The 14,817-nt window shown below is 35.3% G+C and overlaps 2 protein-coding genes across 18 annotated transcripts in view; one reads left to right on the top strand and one right to left on the bottom strand.

Moving 5' to 3' along the window:
- The window catches only part of ERO1A (endoplasmic reticulum oxidoreductase 1 alpha), a 55,644-nt gene extending 47,045 nt beyond the window's left edge, over positions 1–8,599 (top strand). For all 14 annotated transcript variants that reach the window (NM_001382474.1, NM_001382471.1, NM_001382475.1 and 11 more), the window contains 3 exons: positions 2,053–2,139; positions 2,227–2,360; positions 4,884–8,599. In NM_001382474.1, coding sequence (NP_001369403.1) covers positions 2,053–2,139; positions 2,227–2,360; positions 4,884–4,944 — 282 coding nt within the window. In that variant the 3' untranslated portion in view covers positions 4,945–8,599. The remainder of the gene's footprint in view (positions 1–2,052; positions 2,140–2,226; positions 2,361–4,883) is intronic.
- Positions 8,600–10,800: 2,201 nt separating this feature from the next.
- GPR137C (G protein-coupled receptor 137C) overlaps positions 10,801–14,817 on the bottom strand; it is an 84,878-nt gene continuing 80,861 nt past the window's right edge. For all 4 annotated transcript variants that reach the window (NR_148417.2, NM_001353361.2, NM_001099652.2 and 1 more), the window contains 2 exons: positions 14,568–14,686; positions 10,801–13,576 (listed from right to left, as the gene is read on the bottom strand). Coding sequence is in view for 3 of the 4 variants with exons in the window: in NM_001353361.2 (NP_001340290.1) it covers positions 13,399–13,576; positions 14,568–14,686 (297 nt within the window). In the remaining variant the exon portion in view is untranslated. The remainder of the gene's footprint in view (positions 13,577–14,567; positions 14,687–14,817) is intronic.

The following is a 14,817-nucleotide window of genomic DNA, read 5'->3' as shown; positions in this document are numbered from 1 at the left end:
TTTATAGTGCATATATGTGAGCTATTTATTCTGTGGTATATAGTCTTGTCTCTATGTGGATTCTGTGGATCCTCATAATAACCATTAAGTCTTCTGGAAGTCAACAGCTCATAGGATGGGAACATGTTCTTTAGGGTAACTTTCTTACTCTGTTATTATTGTTAAAAGTGTGATTTTTCTTTAAGTTTTGGTCAATGCTCTAGTTTAAAGGCAACCTAAAATCAGATCACAGAATCTTTGTAGAGTAATATTACCGGTTAGTTTTAAGTAGGTTTAAAATTAGTACCTGTTGCTTGGATGTCATGTGGTCATAAAAATAAAAAAAAAATAGTACCTCTTACTGTACAGGTACTGAAACCAAGATAGAGAATATTATTAAGATATGGTAACAATGAACAATTTGGGCTTTGTCTTAATTAATAAAGATATTACATCTTAGATCCTATTAAAACTTTCTTTCATGTTACAGCTGTTTGAAAGTCACAAACTGAATAAAGCATGTTGGGAAAGTCTGTCTCCAGAGCAAATTGAGGTTTCCTTTGAATAGTGGGTTCCAATCATTGATTTATTCCTATTTTAGATTTGTGGTCCTGCCTTCATCTGGTTGAGCCTAGTGTGTGGTTTATCACATTAGAATAAGAGAAATACTGTGTGCTCCCTAAATTATAGGCCAATTTGTATAATGGATGTTCTATCTGAGATGTATGTCAGATTTCCTGCTAAGAATACTGTAAGCTTGAGATTCCCCTCTTAGTCCAGTACAGGAGTCTCTTGGAGGATCAGTTGGTAATTTCCATTGAAGGAAAAGAAGGATGTGTTCTTGGCTTCCCTTCTTTTTTCCATATTCCTTAAGGACATATACTATGTTTAGATTAGCTGGATGCATGTCGCCCTATTATAAATGATATAATATTCTAGGGTTCATGGATGTATACATATGTATTAAAAGCATAAAAACAAAAAGGGAACAATGCCAAATTCAATATAGTAGTAGAGGGTGGGATATGGGACTCGAGAGATAACATGAGGGGCTTCGATTGTACTTGTGACAAATTTTTCTAAAACTTGGTAGTGGGTATGTGGCATTCACTATATTTTATATATTTTTGCATTTTAATAGTAATAGTAATTTAATATTAACAAAGGAAGACCTGATTGTTTACCTTATTCATACCAGAAAGAAGGGCTGTGGTTGAATTATTATGAAACCAAAGGGCTGGGCACAGTGGCTCACGCCTGTAATCCCAGCACTTTGGGAGGTCGAGGTGGGCGGATCACGAGGTCAGGAGATCGAGACCATCCTGGCTAACATGGTGAAACCCTGCCTCTACTAAAAAAAAAAAAAAAAAAAAAAAAAAAAAAAAAAAAAAATTAGCTGGGCGTGGTGGCAGGTGCCTGTAGTCCCGGCTACTCAGGACGCTGAGGCAGGAGAATGGTGTGAACCTGGGAGGCAGAGCTTGCAGTGAGCGAGATTCCCCCACTGCACTCCAGCTTGGGTGACAGGGCGATACTCTCAAAAAAAAAAAAAAAAAAAAAAAAAGAAACCAAAGGATTTTTTTTTTCCTTTCCATTCCTGCCTTCTCTCATTCCCTCCCTCCATTCCTTCTGGTAAATGATGCTCTCTAACCCTGTCTCACCCTCCTTTCTCCACCTATTGACATATAGTTAATCACCTACAATGGACACCTTGACAAAGTTATTTTGTATATTTTTGCAGATAGTTTAGCTTTGGAGTCAGACAGGCCTGGTTTCTAAGTTTTTTGTTTACTAGATGTGGGAATTTAGGCAAGTTACCTAAACACTCTGAATCTTGTTTTTTACATTCATTAGGTGTAGATTATAATAATAACTACCTTTGGATTTGTGGTGAAGATTAAATGAGATTGTGTATGTAAGGATCTGGTATGTAGAATCAATGAATATTAGTGCTGTTCTCATTTTTGGTACCCCATAGTACCTTGCACAGTGTTAGGCACATAGAACCTGCTCAGAAAATACTTACTAATTGACTGTATATTACATCTTAATAAAATCTTGTTAAATTGTTTTCAGGAGGACTTTCGACTGCATTTTAGAAATATTTCAAGAATTATGGATTGTGTTGGTTGTTTTAAATGTCGTCTGTGGGGAAAGCTTCAGGTAAGCAAATTTAGTCATTCCTATTTCTCATTTACCCTTTGCATGAATAATTTTCTAATTTTTCTTTTTTCCTTATTTCTATTACAGACTCAGGGTTTGGGCACTGCTCTGAAGATCTTATTTTCTGAGAAATTGATAGCAAATATGCCAGAAAGTGGACCTAGTTATGAATTCCATCTAACCAGACAAGAAATAGTATCATTATTCAACGCATTTGGAAGGTTAGTTTGAATGTACTGAAATGCTTCTGGTAGCCAAGTAAGTCTAATGCAACATATATGCTCTCAGAAAAAACTGGGTAAGGAATATCCTTTTTATTTTATTTGTTTATTTATTTTTGAGACGGAGTTTTGGTCTGTAGCCCAGGCTGGAGTGCAGTGGCGTGATCTCGGCTCACTGCGACCTCCACCTTCTGGGTTCAAGCGATTCTCCCAACTTAGCCTCCCAAGTAGCTGGGATTACAGGTGCGTGACACCACGCCTGGCTAATTTGTGTGTGTGTGTGTGTGTGTGTGTGTGTGTGTGTGTATTTTTAGTAGAAACACGGTTTCACCATGTTGGCCAGGCTGGTCTTGAACTCCTGACCTCAGGTGATCTGCCAGGCTCCACCTCCCGAAGTGCTGGATTACAGGCGTGAGCCACTGTGCCCAGCCAGGAATATTTTTTTTGAAGAAATCATTTCATTACAGAATTATGGGATATTATGAAATACCTCCAGTATGTAGACATATACAATTAGTACATGATCGTCTTTATTTTCCTCTATTGACTTTTATAATCATAATTAGGGCCGGGCACGGTGGCTCATGCCTGTAATCCTAGCACTTTGAGAAGCCAAGGTGGGTGGATCACTTGAGGCCAGGAGTTCAAGACCAGCCTGGCCAACTCTACTAAAATCAAAAAAAATTAGCCAGGCATGGTGGAGCATGCCTGTGGTCCCAGCTACTCAGGAGGCTGAGGCAGAAGAATCGCTTGAACCCGGGAGGCAGAGGTTGCAGTGAGCCGAGATCATACCACTGCACTCCAGCCAGGGTGACAGAGCAAGACATCATCTCAAAAAAAAAAAAAAAAAAGTGTGTATATGTATGTATAAAATCATAATTATAATTACTCATTGAATTTTAATATTCATCTTATCGAATTTGTACATTAAAAATTGCTTAAAAGCAGTTTTTTTATCCAATTATTTTTCTGATAGTGGTAGAAAAATCATGTTGTTTAACATAGGTGTACATGTAAATCTCTTTGTGAACTCACCATTATATAAAAAGGTTAATAATTCTTTTAAAAATAATTATTTCCTATCAAAATGATTAAAGAAAAGCATGAAATAAGGAACTTACATTAAAATATTTAAGTACAGATGCATTTCCTTCTGGCCTATCATGCAAGAAATGCTGAGATTTATAAAAATTAACATTTTTTAAAGGACTACATTTCCTCATTTAAAAAATATTACAATTTTGGGCTTGAAATAATTGACCTTCAAAATTGTGTCTCTAGCATCCAAGGGCTAGATAGTTAATATTTCATTGATTATTCTGTTTTTTTCATGATCGAGAGCAGAGCTAAGTGCACTTAAAATAAGGAACAAAATTTACTTTACAAAAATTAGTGAAAACAGTGTAGTCATACGTTTAATACTCTTACTCTTTATAGGCCAATAGCATTGATTCTTTCTACATTTACTAAATATGGTGTATTTTAAGTATTCATATACTTATGCATTTAAAAATGATATTTCTGTGTTTATATACTTTATACTTACGTACTTTAATATTAAGCATACGAATACTTTTATGAATACTTATACCTAAATATTGTATTATTTGTATACTTACATATTTTATACCAAATACTATATACTTTAATATTAAGGGAGTATACTTATGAATGCTTAAAATATAGAAGTATTTTAATATTTATGTATCTCATACTTATGTATTTGATTGATTGATTGACCGACGTGATCTCAGTTTACGGAAACCTCTGCCTCCCAGGCTCAATAGATTCTCCCACCTTAGTCTCCTGAGTAGCTGGGATACAGGCACACGCCACCATGCCTGGCTAATTTTCTTGTTTTTCATAGAGAGAAGGTTTTGCCACATTGCCCTTGCTGGTCTCAAACTCCTGGACTCAAGTGGTCTGCTCGCCTTGGCCTCCCAAAGCGCTGGGATTACAGACATGAGCTACTGCACCTGGCTATTTTATTTATTTAAAAGAATTTGATTTTTTAGAGATAGGATCTGGCTATGTTGCCCAGGCTGGAGTGCAGTGGCATGATCATAGCTCACTGTAACCTTGAACTTCTGGGCTCAAGCAGTTCTCCTACCTCGGGTTTCCAAGTAGCTACGACTACATGGCACACACAGCCATGCCTGGCAATTTTTAATTTTTTTTTGTAGAGACCAGGTCTCCCTGTGTTGTCCAGGCTGTTCTCCAATTCCTGGCCTCAAGTAGTTCTCCCGTCTTGGCCTCAAAAAATACTGGGATTACAGGAGTGAATCACTGCACCTGGCATATGTATTTAAATACTTTTAAAATAACTAATTTCTAGACATTAATATCTTAGTTTTACCTTGTCGAATTAAGAACTAAAATATATTAAAATACATTAAATGGTTTATGCACCTTAAATTTATTGAAATAAATTACTTTAAAAATGTTTTAAAATGCAAAGTGAATAACTTTTACAGATAAAATTTATCTAAGATGGTTTCTGAGTGAAATATTTTTTGGTTACAGAATTTCTACAAGTGTGAAAGAATTAGAAAACTTCAGGAACTTGTTACAGAATATTCATTAAAGAAAACAAGCTGATATGTGCCTGTTTCTGGACAATGGAGGCGAAAGAGTGGAATTTCATTCAAAGGCATAATAGCAATGACAGTCTTAAGCCAAACATTTTATATAAAGTTGCTTTTGTAAAGGAGAATTATATTGTTTTAAGTAAACACATTTTTAAAAATTGTGTTAAGTCTATGTATAATACTACTGTGAGTAAAAGTAATACTTTAATAATGTGGTACAAATTTTAAAGTTTAATATTGAATAAAAGGAGGATTATCAAATTCATATATGATAAAAGTGAATGTTCTAAGTCTCTCAAACTAGCGTTTTATGTAATAATATGTAATATAAATAAAACTATGGTAAATGTGACAAGCATTTAATAGGAAAATGCTAAGGAGGCCTCATAAATGACCCATAATTACCAACGTAGAATTTTTCAGTACATTTAGGGTTGCTGGATTTAGCAAATAAAAATAAAGATTGCCCAGTTAGATTTGAATTTCAGATAAACAATTAGTTTTTTAATATTTTACATGGAATATTTGGAAAATACTTATACTAAAAAATTATTTGTTTGAAATTCAAATTTAACTGGGAGTCTTGTATTTTATCTGGCAATCCTAAAATACATTGGTATGAAACAAATCACTTTTAGAAGTATATTGCTATTTTGATTGGGTTGTTTTTGTGTGTAGAAACGTACAATAACAACTCAAAGGCACAGGAGATTTCTAAACATTGTGAAAAGTTGAATAGATTATATATTTATTCTCATAATACTTTCACTAATACTAAATAAAATTTGGGGAACACTTTTTATTTTTATATAATTTCCAATTTACAGAAAAGTTTCAAAAATAGTACAAAGAGCTCTCTTACCCAGATTCACTAATTGTTCATACGTGCTTTATCTTTCATGCTTTCTCTGTACACACACACACACACACAAATTTTTCCTCAATCATTTGAAAGTCAGTTATAGGCATCATGCCCCTTAAACCCTAAATACTTCAGTGTGTAATACTGAATAATTACTAAAAATGATTTTCTCAGAAAAAAAAACTCCCACAATTCTGGAACTATAATACTGTAAGCCTTAGAATAAATAATACTTTCAAGTTCCAATCTAAAGTTCTTTTTGAGTTTTGTTGCCCGTTTTATGCTTGATGTGTATAGTAATAGGGTAGGCTATTTATTTTATTAAAATTTTTTTTAGAGACAAGGTTTTGCTGTGTTGCCCAAGCTGGAACTTGAACGACTGGGCTGAAGTGATCTTCCCACCTCAGCCTCCCAAGTAGCTGGGAATACAGGTGTCTGCCACCATACCCAGTTTCATTTTTGTTTTTTATACCCGAAGTTCATTTCCTTTGTCTCCCTAAAACTGAACTGTAATTTTGGGAGGTTTTCATTAGTGGAAGCTCTTCATTTATAAAGCTATTTGAAGGGGTTTAGGAATTTATATCACATGGTAATTGTAGAGAAAAAGAAGCTATATACCTCAAAATCGTGCCCTCTTTACATATGTCTTATCAGGTATAACATGTTGAAATGTCACATTAGTAGTAAAGTGGGGTTTATTTATATAGTGGTTAAGAAATGTCAGTTTACACTGCTGTATACTTCTTCTTCTGTGTCCCTAAGGCCTGGTACAGTGCCAAGCACATACTTGGTATCCAATAAATATTTGTTGGATGAATGTATGCATATGTATTCAGTATATTTTAAATGAATAATCACAGAAGTAAGTTTAATAATTTGTCCTATTTTTCTCTGTCACTTCCTTTTTCTCTAAGGCAGGAAAGGAAAGACATTAAACCATTAATTAAGTCAATCCTCTTGGAGACTCAAAAGACTATGAAGTGATCACTCTATATAAAATATAAATACAGTGTGGGTTCAAATGGCCATTTTTTGTGTGTCCCTCTCTCTCATCTTATGCTTCCCTTCCTTTTTTTATTTTTATTTTTTGGAGACGGAGTCTTGCTGTGTCGCCCAGGTTGGAGTGCAGTGGCGTGATCTTAGCTCACTGCAAGCTCTGCCTTCCAGGTTCACGCCATTCTTCTGCCTCAGCCCCCTGAGTAGCTGGGACTACAGGCGCCCGCCACCACGCCCGGCTAATTTTTTTTTTTTTTTTTTTGTATTTTTAGTAGAGGCAGTGTTTCACCGTGTTAGCCAGGATGGTCTTGATCTCCTGACCTCGTGATCCACCCACCTCGACCTCCCAAAGTGCTGGGATTACAGGCGTGAGCCACCACGCCCGGCCTCTTTTTTTTTTAGCTGCCAATCTTTTTGAAGGAATATTCTTACCTCTACTTTGTCACCTTCTACTGGCTCCTTAACTAAAATCTGCCATTTGGCTCTCTGGTTAACAGTCCCTTCCTGTAAAGTCTAAAATCTTAATTCTAAATCCACAGTTTAATTCACAAGCTAGTACTTGACTTTTTTTCTGTATTTGACATTTTTGACAACCCCTACTTTAAAGATTTATTCCCTTGACTTCTTACATTTTGCTCACTCCTGAACCACCCCCCACCTTTTGGCCTCTTCATTTATTCCTTAAATGTTATTCCTCAGACCTCCATTTTTTTTTTCTCTCTTAATCACAACACCACTTCTCACGCTTGGGTAATTTTAATTCAGCAGTTCCTAAATCCTTATCTTTAGCCAGACTCCTCAATCCATCTGCCTGTTGCACTTTTCTTGGTTGTCCCAGAGACACCTGTGTGTGTCTTAAAACATTCATTCTCTGCAAAACCTACTCTAATGCCTGTGTCCCTTACTTTGGTTAATTTTAGAACCATTATATTCTAAGTTTTCTAGGCTCATTCCTCTCCTCCACCTTCCCCTATCATTTAGTGTCTAAGTTTTACTGATTTTATCTCCACCTCTCTGATACATCACTCTTTCATCTTCATTGCTATTATTAATAAATACCTACAGTACTAACCTGCCTCCTATACCTAGCTGGTCTCCTCTCTGTTGCTCAATGTTACCACAGCAGGCTTTCTAGAAGCACTCTGACAGTGTTACTCCCTAATATCCTTCAGTGACTTCAGGAACTTTCAGGAGAAAGCCAAACTCCTCTGTTTGGTGTACAAGGTCTTCTGATGTGTTTCCTCCACCGAATGTTCTGGTGAAACAGACTTACACTTCTTCAGAAGCCACATTTGGCCAGGCCTCCCGCCTTGGTAAATGCTGTACTCTTTGCATCAAGTATGCTAGTCATCCTTCCCCACTTGGAAAATTCCTATGCATCTTGCAGGCCTGACATAAGCATTTCCTCTGTGAAACCTCCTTTGCTCCACTCAAGGAGAGTCATCTAACTTCCACTTTCGTGTCACCACTGTAATTACAACCTACCTCTATTGTATGTCACTTAAATCGTACTGTATTGTTTTATTTTTCAAAAGTCTTTACTAGAATGTGAGCTCCTTAAGGGCAGGAAAAGGAACCTTTTTATTTTTTGCATCTCCATAGCATAGTTTTTGGCATATGAATGTTTAATAAATGTTTGTTGAATAAATTGATTTTAAAGTGACATCTTTATTATATTAGAGGTCCTACCTATATTCCAAATACTTTCACTCCCTTCACTTTACAGCAAGGGTCAGTAGAGTCCCAAGGATTTGTAGACTTTAGGGGGTCAATAAAGCTGAAATTGTATTCAAGATTTGGTGTGGTTTTTGGTGGGTCATGAAAGGGGTCTATTCGGGGAAAAAAAGGAACTTCTTTCATGGGAAAAGGCAGCATCATTGAGGAATTTCTTGAATAATCAAATAATACCTTCCTAGGATTATAAGGTAGATAAATGGATTCCTGTTTAAGATTCTGAAGGGAAGGGGAGAAGTGTTATAAATTATTTCATACAACAATTTTTCTTAGCTTAATGTTTGAATAAATAAAAATGTTGGTACCAGTACCATGCTGTTTTGGTTACTGTAGCCTTGTAGTATAGTTTGAAGTCAGGTAGCGTGATGCCTCCAGCTTTGTTCTTTTGGCTTAGGATTGACTTGGCGATGCGGGCTCTTTTTTGGTTCCATATGAACTTTAAAGTAGTTTTTTCCAATTCTGTGAAGAAAGACATTGGTAGCTTGATGGGGATGGCATTGAATCTATAAATTACCTTGGGCAGTATGGCCATTTTCATGATATTGATTCTTCCTACCCATGAGCATGGAATGTTCTTCCATTTGTTTGGATCCTCTTTTATTTCATTGAGCAGTGGTTTGTAGTTCTCCTTGAAGAGGTCCAGAGATATAGATCAATGGAACAGAACAGAGCCCTCAGAAATAACGCCGCATATCTACAACTATCTGATCTTTGACAAACCTGAGAAAAACAAGCAATGGGAAAAGGATTCCCTATTTAATAAATGGTGCTGGGAAAACTGGCTAGCCATATGTAGAAAGCTGAAAATGGCTCCCTTCCTTACACCTTATACAAAAATTAATTCAAGATGGATTAAAGACTTAAACGTTAGACCCAAAACCATAAAAACCCTAGAAGAAAACCTAGGCATTACCATTCAGGACATAGGCATGGGCAAGGACTTCATGTCTAAAACACCAAAAGCAATGGCAACAAAAGCCAAAATTGACAAATGGGATCTAATTAAACTAAAGAGCTTCTGCACAGCAAAAGAAACTACCATCAGAGTGAACAGGCAACCTACAAAATGGGAGAAAATTTTCGCAACCTACTCATCTGACAAAGGCTAATATCCAGAATCTACAATGAACTCAAACAAATTTACAAGAAAAAAACAAACAACCCCATCAAAAAGTGGGTGAAGGACATGAACAGACACTTCTCAAAAGAAGACATTTATGCAGCCAAAAAACACATGAAAAAATGCTCACCATCACTGGCCATCAGAGAAATGCAAATCAAAACCACAATGAGACACCATCTCACACCAGTTAGAATGGCAATCATTAAAAAGTCAGGAAACAACAGGTGCTGGAGAGGATGTGGAGAAATAGGAACACTTTTACACTGTTGGTGGGACTGTAAACTAGTTCAACCATTGTGGAAGTCAGTGTGGCGATTCCTCAGGGATCTAGAACTAGAAATACCATTTGACCCAGCCATCCCATTACTGGGTATATACCCAAAGGACTATAAATCATGCTGCTATAAAGACACATGCACACGTACATTTAATGCGGCACTATCCACAATAGCAAAGACTTGGAAGCAACCCAAATGTCCAACAATGATAGACTGGATTAAGAAAATGTGGCACATATACACCATGGAATACTATGCAGCCATAAAAAATGATGAGTTCATGTCCTTTGTAGGGACATGGATGAAATTGGAAATAATCATTCTCAGTAAACTATCGCAAGAACAAAAAACCAAACACTGCATGTTCTCACTCATAGGTGGGAATTGAACAATGAGAACACATGGACACAGGAAGGGGAACATCACACTCTGGGGACTGTTGTGGGGTGGGGGGAGGGGGGAGGGATAGCTTTAGGAGATATACCTAATGCTAAATGATGAGTTAATGGGTGCAGCACACCAGCATGGCACATGTATACATATGTAACTAACCTGCACATTGTGCACATGTACCCTAAAACTTAAAGTATTAAAAAAAAACCCTTAAAAAATAAAAATAAAAATGTTGTACTATCTAATAACGTATTGGCATTTTAAACTGCATGGCACTTCATGTCAAACTGGTGTATGTGGAGCAATATGACATCCAGATGTAAGTAATTATGAGATCACTAAAGGCGAACTATCATTTGTAACTCCTGATTTTTTTTTTTTTTGTGGTAGCACTATGTTCTTATTCTTATATGATAGAAACTCAGTATAGTCCATTATAAGAGATGAAGAAAACCAGAACTCTAAATAAAAGCACAAACACTTTTATTTTTAATAGTAGTGTTTTGTTACAATTTAGTGAAACAACAAATAAATACATTCATTGGCCACAGCTATACTTTTACAACCAGTTTGAAACTGATTATATAGCTGAGAAACACTGTTAAACAATAAAAAAGGCAGCTATGCATAAAAAAGCCACTTTAGCTATAAATTACATTTTCCATAAAACTACAACCAACTACAATGAGTGGTAAAGGTTTCAAAATTAATGGCCACCCAAGTGAAATGATGAAAACAAATACTGCTAATCACTATAGAATTACACACTTAAGTAATGAAATTCACTTTTTAATGAACAAAAATGAAGGTTTGATACTGTCATCATGTGCTTCAGTGCAGGATGAACAGGGAATCGGTAGCCCTTTGATTTTATAAACAACTCCTTTCGAGACCAAACTTAAAGTGCTCCTAGTGCTTTGGAATTTTTAAGCAAAGATTGGGCCAGAGTGTATCTTTATTTGTCTTTGGTGATATGTTAGATGTGTATAAGGAGACAAATGCAAGAATTTGGGTACCCTAGTCAGTGATAAGAATAAACTTACAAACCTCAAATTTGGAACAATCAACTAATGCAGCAGAAAGAACCAAGTTATTTTATCTGAAAAATTTTTAAAAAGTAATCTTTGTTAGTTTGGTCAAATAGGAACATTATCGAGGGGAGCCTTACTAGAAAAACTTTATCACCTTGAACCCCAAGGATTAACAAAGACAACATATCTTTTTGGACAGCTCTAGATGATTAGATGCCTAACATTATTAGCAAAATAAACAGTTAGCATTCTGAGAAGCAATCTAACAACTGGAGTTGTAATAAAAGTACGCTTTTGTCACTTAATACCACGGGTAACTTTTTATACTATACATTTTAAAATAATTTGGTTACAATGAGAGAATTATAAACAAACCCAAAATAACATAAGTATATGCTTCTGATTGAATACAAAGTCATTTTGTATCATAAAAAGAAGAAATTTATTTGTCTGTGTACTGGCCTCCCAAAAGATCGAAAGCATTAACAATTTCAATTTTTCCTTAAGGTTTCAACCTAGTGTTATACTTTTATGAAGTTATTGTATCAGTTGTTAAAAAGTTGAAGTACATTTTAAGTAAGCGAGGAAATAACATTCTAATCAAAGTATAAAACAGAAAAGGATAGTCGTATTAGTTCCAGTTCTGAAGAAATAGCTAGCAGACAATTGTAGTTTGTCTTTGAGCATGTTGTGACAACTTCCCAATGTTGCTTGTTCCCTTGGCATCTTGAGGTATTCAGCATCTACTTCTTTCCATATAGACACTGGTACAAAGTGCATTTTAAAATTCTGTATTATCTCAGCCTGCCATTTTCTTTTTTTTTAGATTTGGGATAGGACATTTAAGACAGTTTTAATGTAATTCTAAAAGTACTCCAATATTGTTAACCTGTGGTTTTATACTTACCTAGTTTGTACATTTACTTAAGTTTGCTCATTTAGTCTAATGCTGGAATTAATCTGAATTCAATTTAATTTGGCTTTTCCCATATATAAGATATAAAAATGTGAAAATCATAGGAATTATATGTCTTACAAAGTATTGCACTTGAGTTCACTGCAATAATGTATCATGATTTCATTTACCTGAGGACAATCCTGATTCACTAGGTAAGACCAGCTATATCATGCTTCAGAGAAATCAAATGCTTTTGAAAATATATTTATGTTTTAATTTAGAATTACACATTTTGTGAATAATTCTTAAATGCATCTCTAAACTTGTTTAGTCCCAAGAAGTTTCTACCAAAATCTCCCTATGCAAAAGTCACTATTGCTTTCTTCAAGAATCATGCTTAAACTACTACATATATCTCAATTACACAAAATAATCAACTGACCAATTCTACTCAAAATAGCCACACAATTTTCACTGGTATATTTTCCTCTTGAAATTATTGTGGCTCTCCAAAGAACACTGCTGGCCATAACTAATGGATTACTACCATCATTTGTTTAAAATGATTGAATTTCAGTTGCTATTTTAAAATCATGCTTAAAAGAACTGTCTTCAATGATTACACATTTTCAGTAGATTTTTATAAAGAATGATACATTTTTATGCCTTAACTCTGTGCACTGTTCACACTATAAAATTTTTATTAAGATATCTGTATAGAGCATACCAATGAATATACCGGCTTTGATTTTCATAGGAAAATTGCCTTCCAGTTTGGTGTACAATACAGTATTTCAGTGTGAACATTGGCATATGACTTTGGGGACTGCAGTGACTCAGAACAAAGATAAAAGTGCACATATGCATTTGATGTTCCAAAGTCAGGATTTTTGGAGGCCATCAAGTGCCTTAAGATCTAATCTCTCTTTTCTCCTACTCCAAACTTTCCATTTTACTTCATTTTACTATGAAGAGGTCAAAAATAATAGCTGTGTTATTTACCAAACACAGCCACACTTCCAGATTTTGTTTTCAGTTGCAACAGATAATGGAATGTTTATGTAGATGGAATTTAAACACATTGAATATACACATTTATGAAAAACAACTCAAGAATCATGACTTGGTGATGCTGTCAGTTTTGTGGTGTCACATATAAGCTATGATGATTGTTCAAATCTAAATTACTACAAGTAAAGAGCAAAGGAGCAGTATCTGTCATAGGTCCATTCAGGTGGGGAGTGACTGTGTAACTGCTGCTGCCACACCCAGTCATGGTGCCATACCAGCCCAAACTTTGCGAATTTGGTAAACTGCAACAAAAAAAAGGCAAAAAGACCATAGGACTATGATCAGGATATAAGAAGTCACATTTGAATTTTTAGCATTTTCAATGAATTTTGTAATAAAGTTAGCACTCAAATACATTGAAATATGTTCTTTGTCAAATAACAAAATGCTTTTCTACAAATTTAATGACTTTTATCTAATATCCTGGATTCTATATCGCAGTATGTTACAAAAGAATGAATAAATGCCACTCAGAACTGGTAGAACTTGATTGTCAGATGACAACAATGTAGTCCTTATGTACTCAGCTCTATTCTAAGACATCTATGTATGTATGTATGTATGTATGCAGACACACATATACATTCATTTCTCACAACAAACCTCTGAAATAGGTTCTATTATCCCTGTCTTACAGATGAAAAGCAGGTTCAAAAAACTGAGGTTATATAACTTGCCCAGATGAAGTTAGGATTACAGAAAATGTCATATCAAGCTGAAGCCATTATGCTTCATGGCTTCAGCCATTAAGCTTTCCTCTTTGCCCGAATCACAGTCAATAGTGTACTAGTTACGGACTTGAAATGGTTTTGTAACAAGGAGGGCATGGGAACATTTCCTATGGCAATTAAGCTTCCCAAGAGTTTTATCTAGGGTTTCTCTGGATTTTGACCAGCACTAAAGATATGGAAACAGACATATAATCACTATAATAGTATTTCTTCCTTGTGCATCCCCCTCCCACAAACAGCTCTGAACCAACAAGTGATCCCGAAATGAAATGGTACCATTTTAGCCAAAAGGCATATAGGCTTTGAGTCAAATGGTAGTTCCTGATAATGCAGGTCCCACCCTGGGTTTAACATCTACTGCTTTAAACTCCAGTATTGCCGATCTTATTTATTGACATATTACCACTAAATCACCTTTTTTCATATTTTGGTTAAAGCTTAGATTTGTTTTTTTCAATCAATTTCAATAGTAATTCAGGCTAAGTGGCTTTGTTACATCTACCTTCCTTCTCTTGAACTTCCCAGTCTTGGCAGGTCATCATCACTATCATATCGTCTTGGATTGTCGAAAAAGTAAGCTCTGGAACTATAACTGTGACTATTTATCATGCCAGCAGGTGCCTGTGAACAAAGTATTAGATAGCATATGAAGGTTTTACTTTTCCACTAAGAAAGGAGGCTAGAATCTATAATAATTTTTAGTCTTAACCTTTGCCAAAAATAGAAAATCAATATAAATGTTCCATAATTTT

Source organism: Homo sapiens, chromosome 14 (genome assembly GCF_000001405.40).
Source record: "Homo sapiens chromosome 14, GRCh38.p14 Primary Assembly".
NCBI classification, from domain to species: domain Eukaryota; kingdom Metazoa; phylum Chordata; class Mammalia; order Primates; family Hominidae; genus Homo; species Homo sapiens.
The sequence above is the reverse complement of the archived record's forward strand: the minus strand, read 5'-3'. Positions and strand labels throughout refer to the sequence as shown.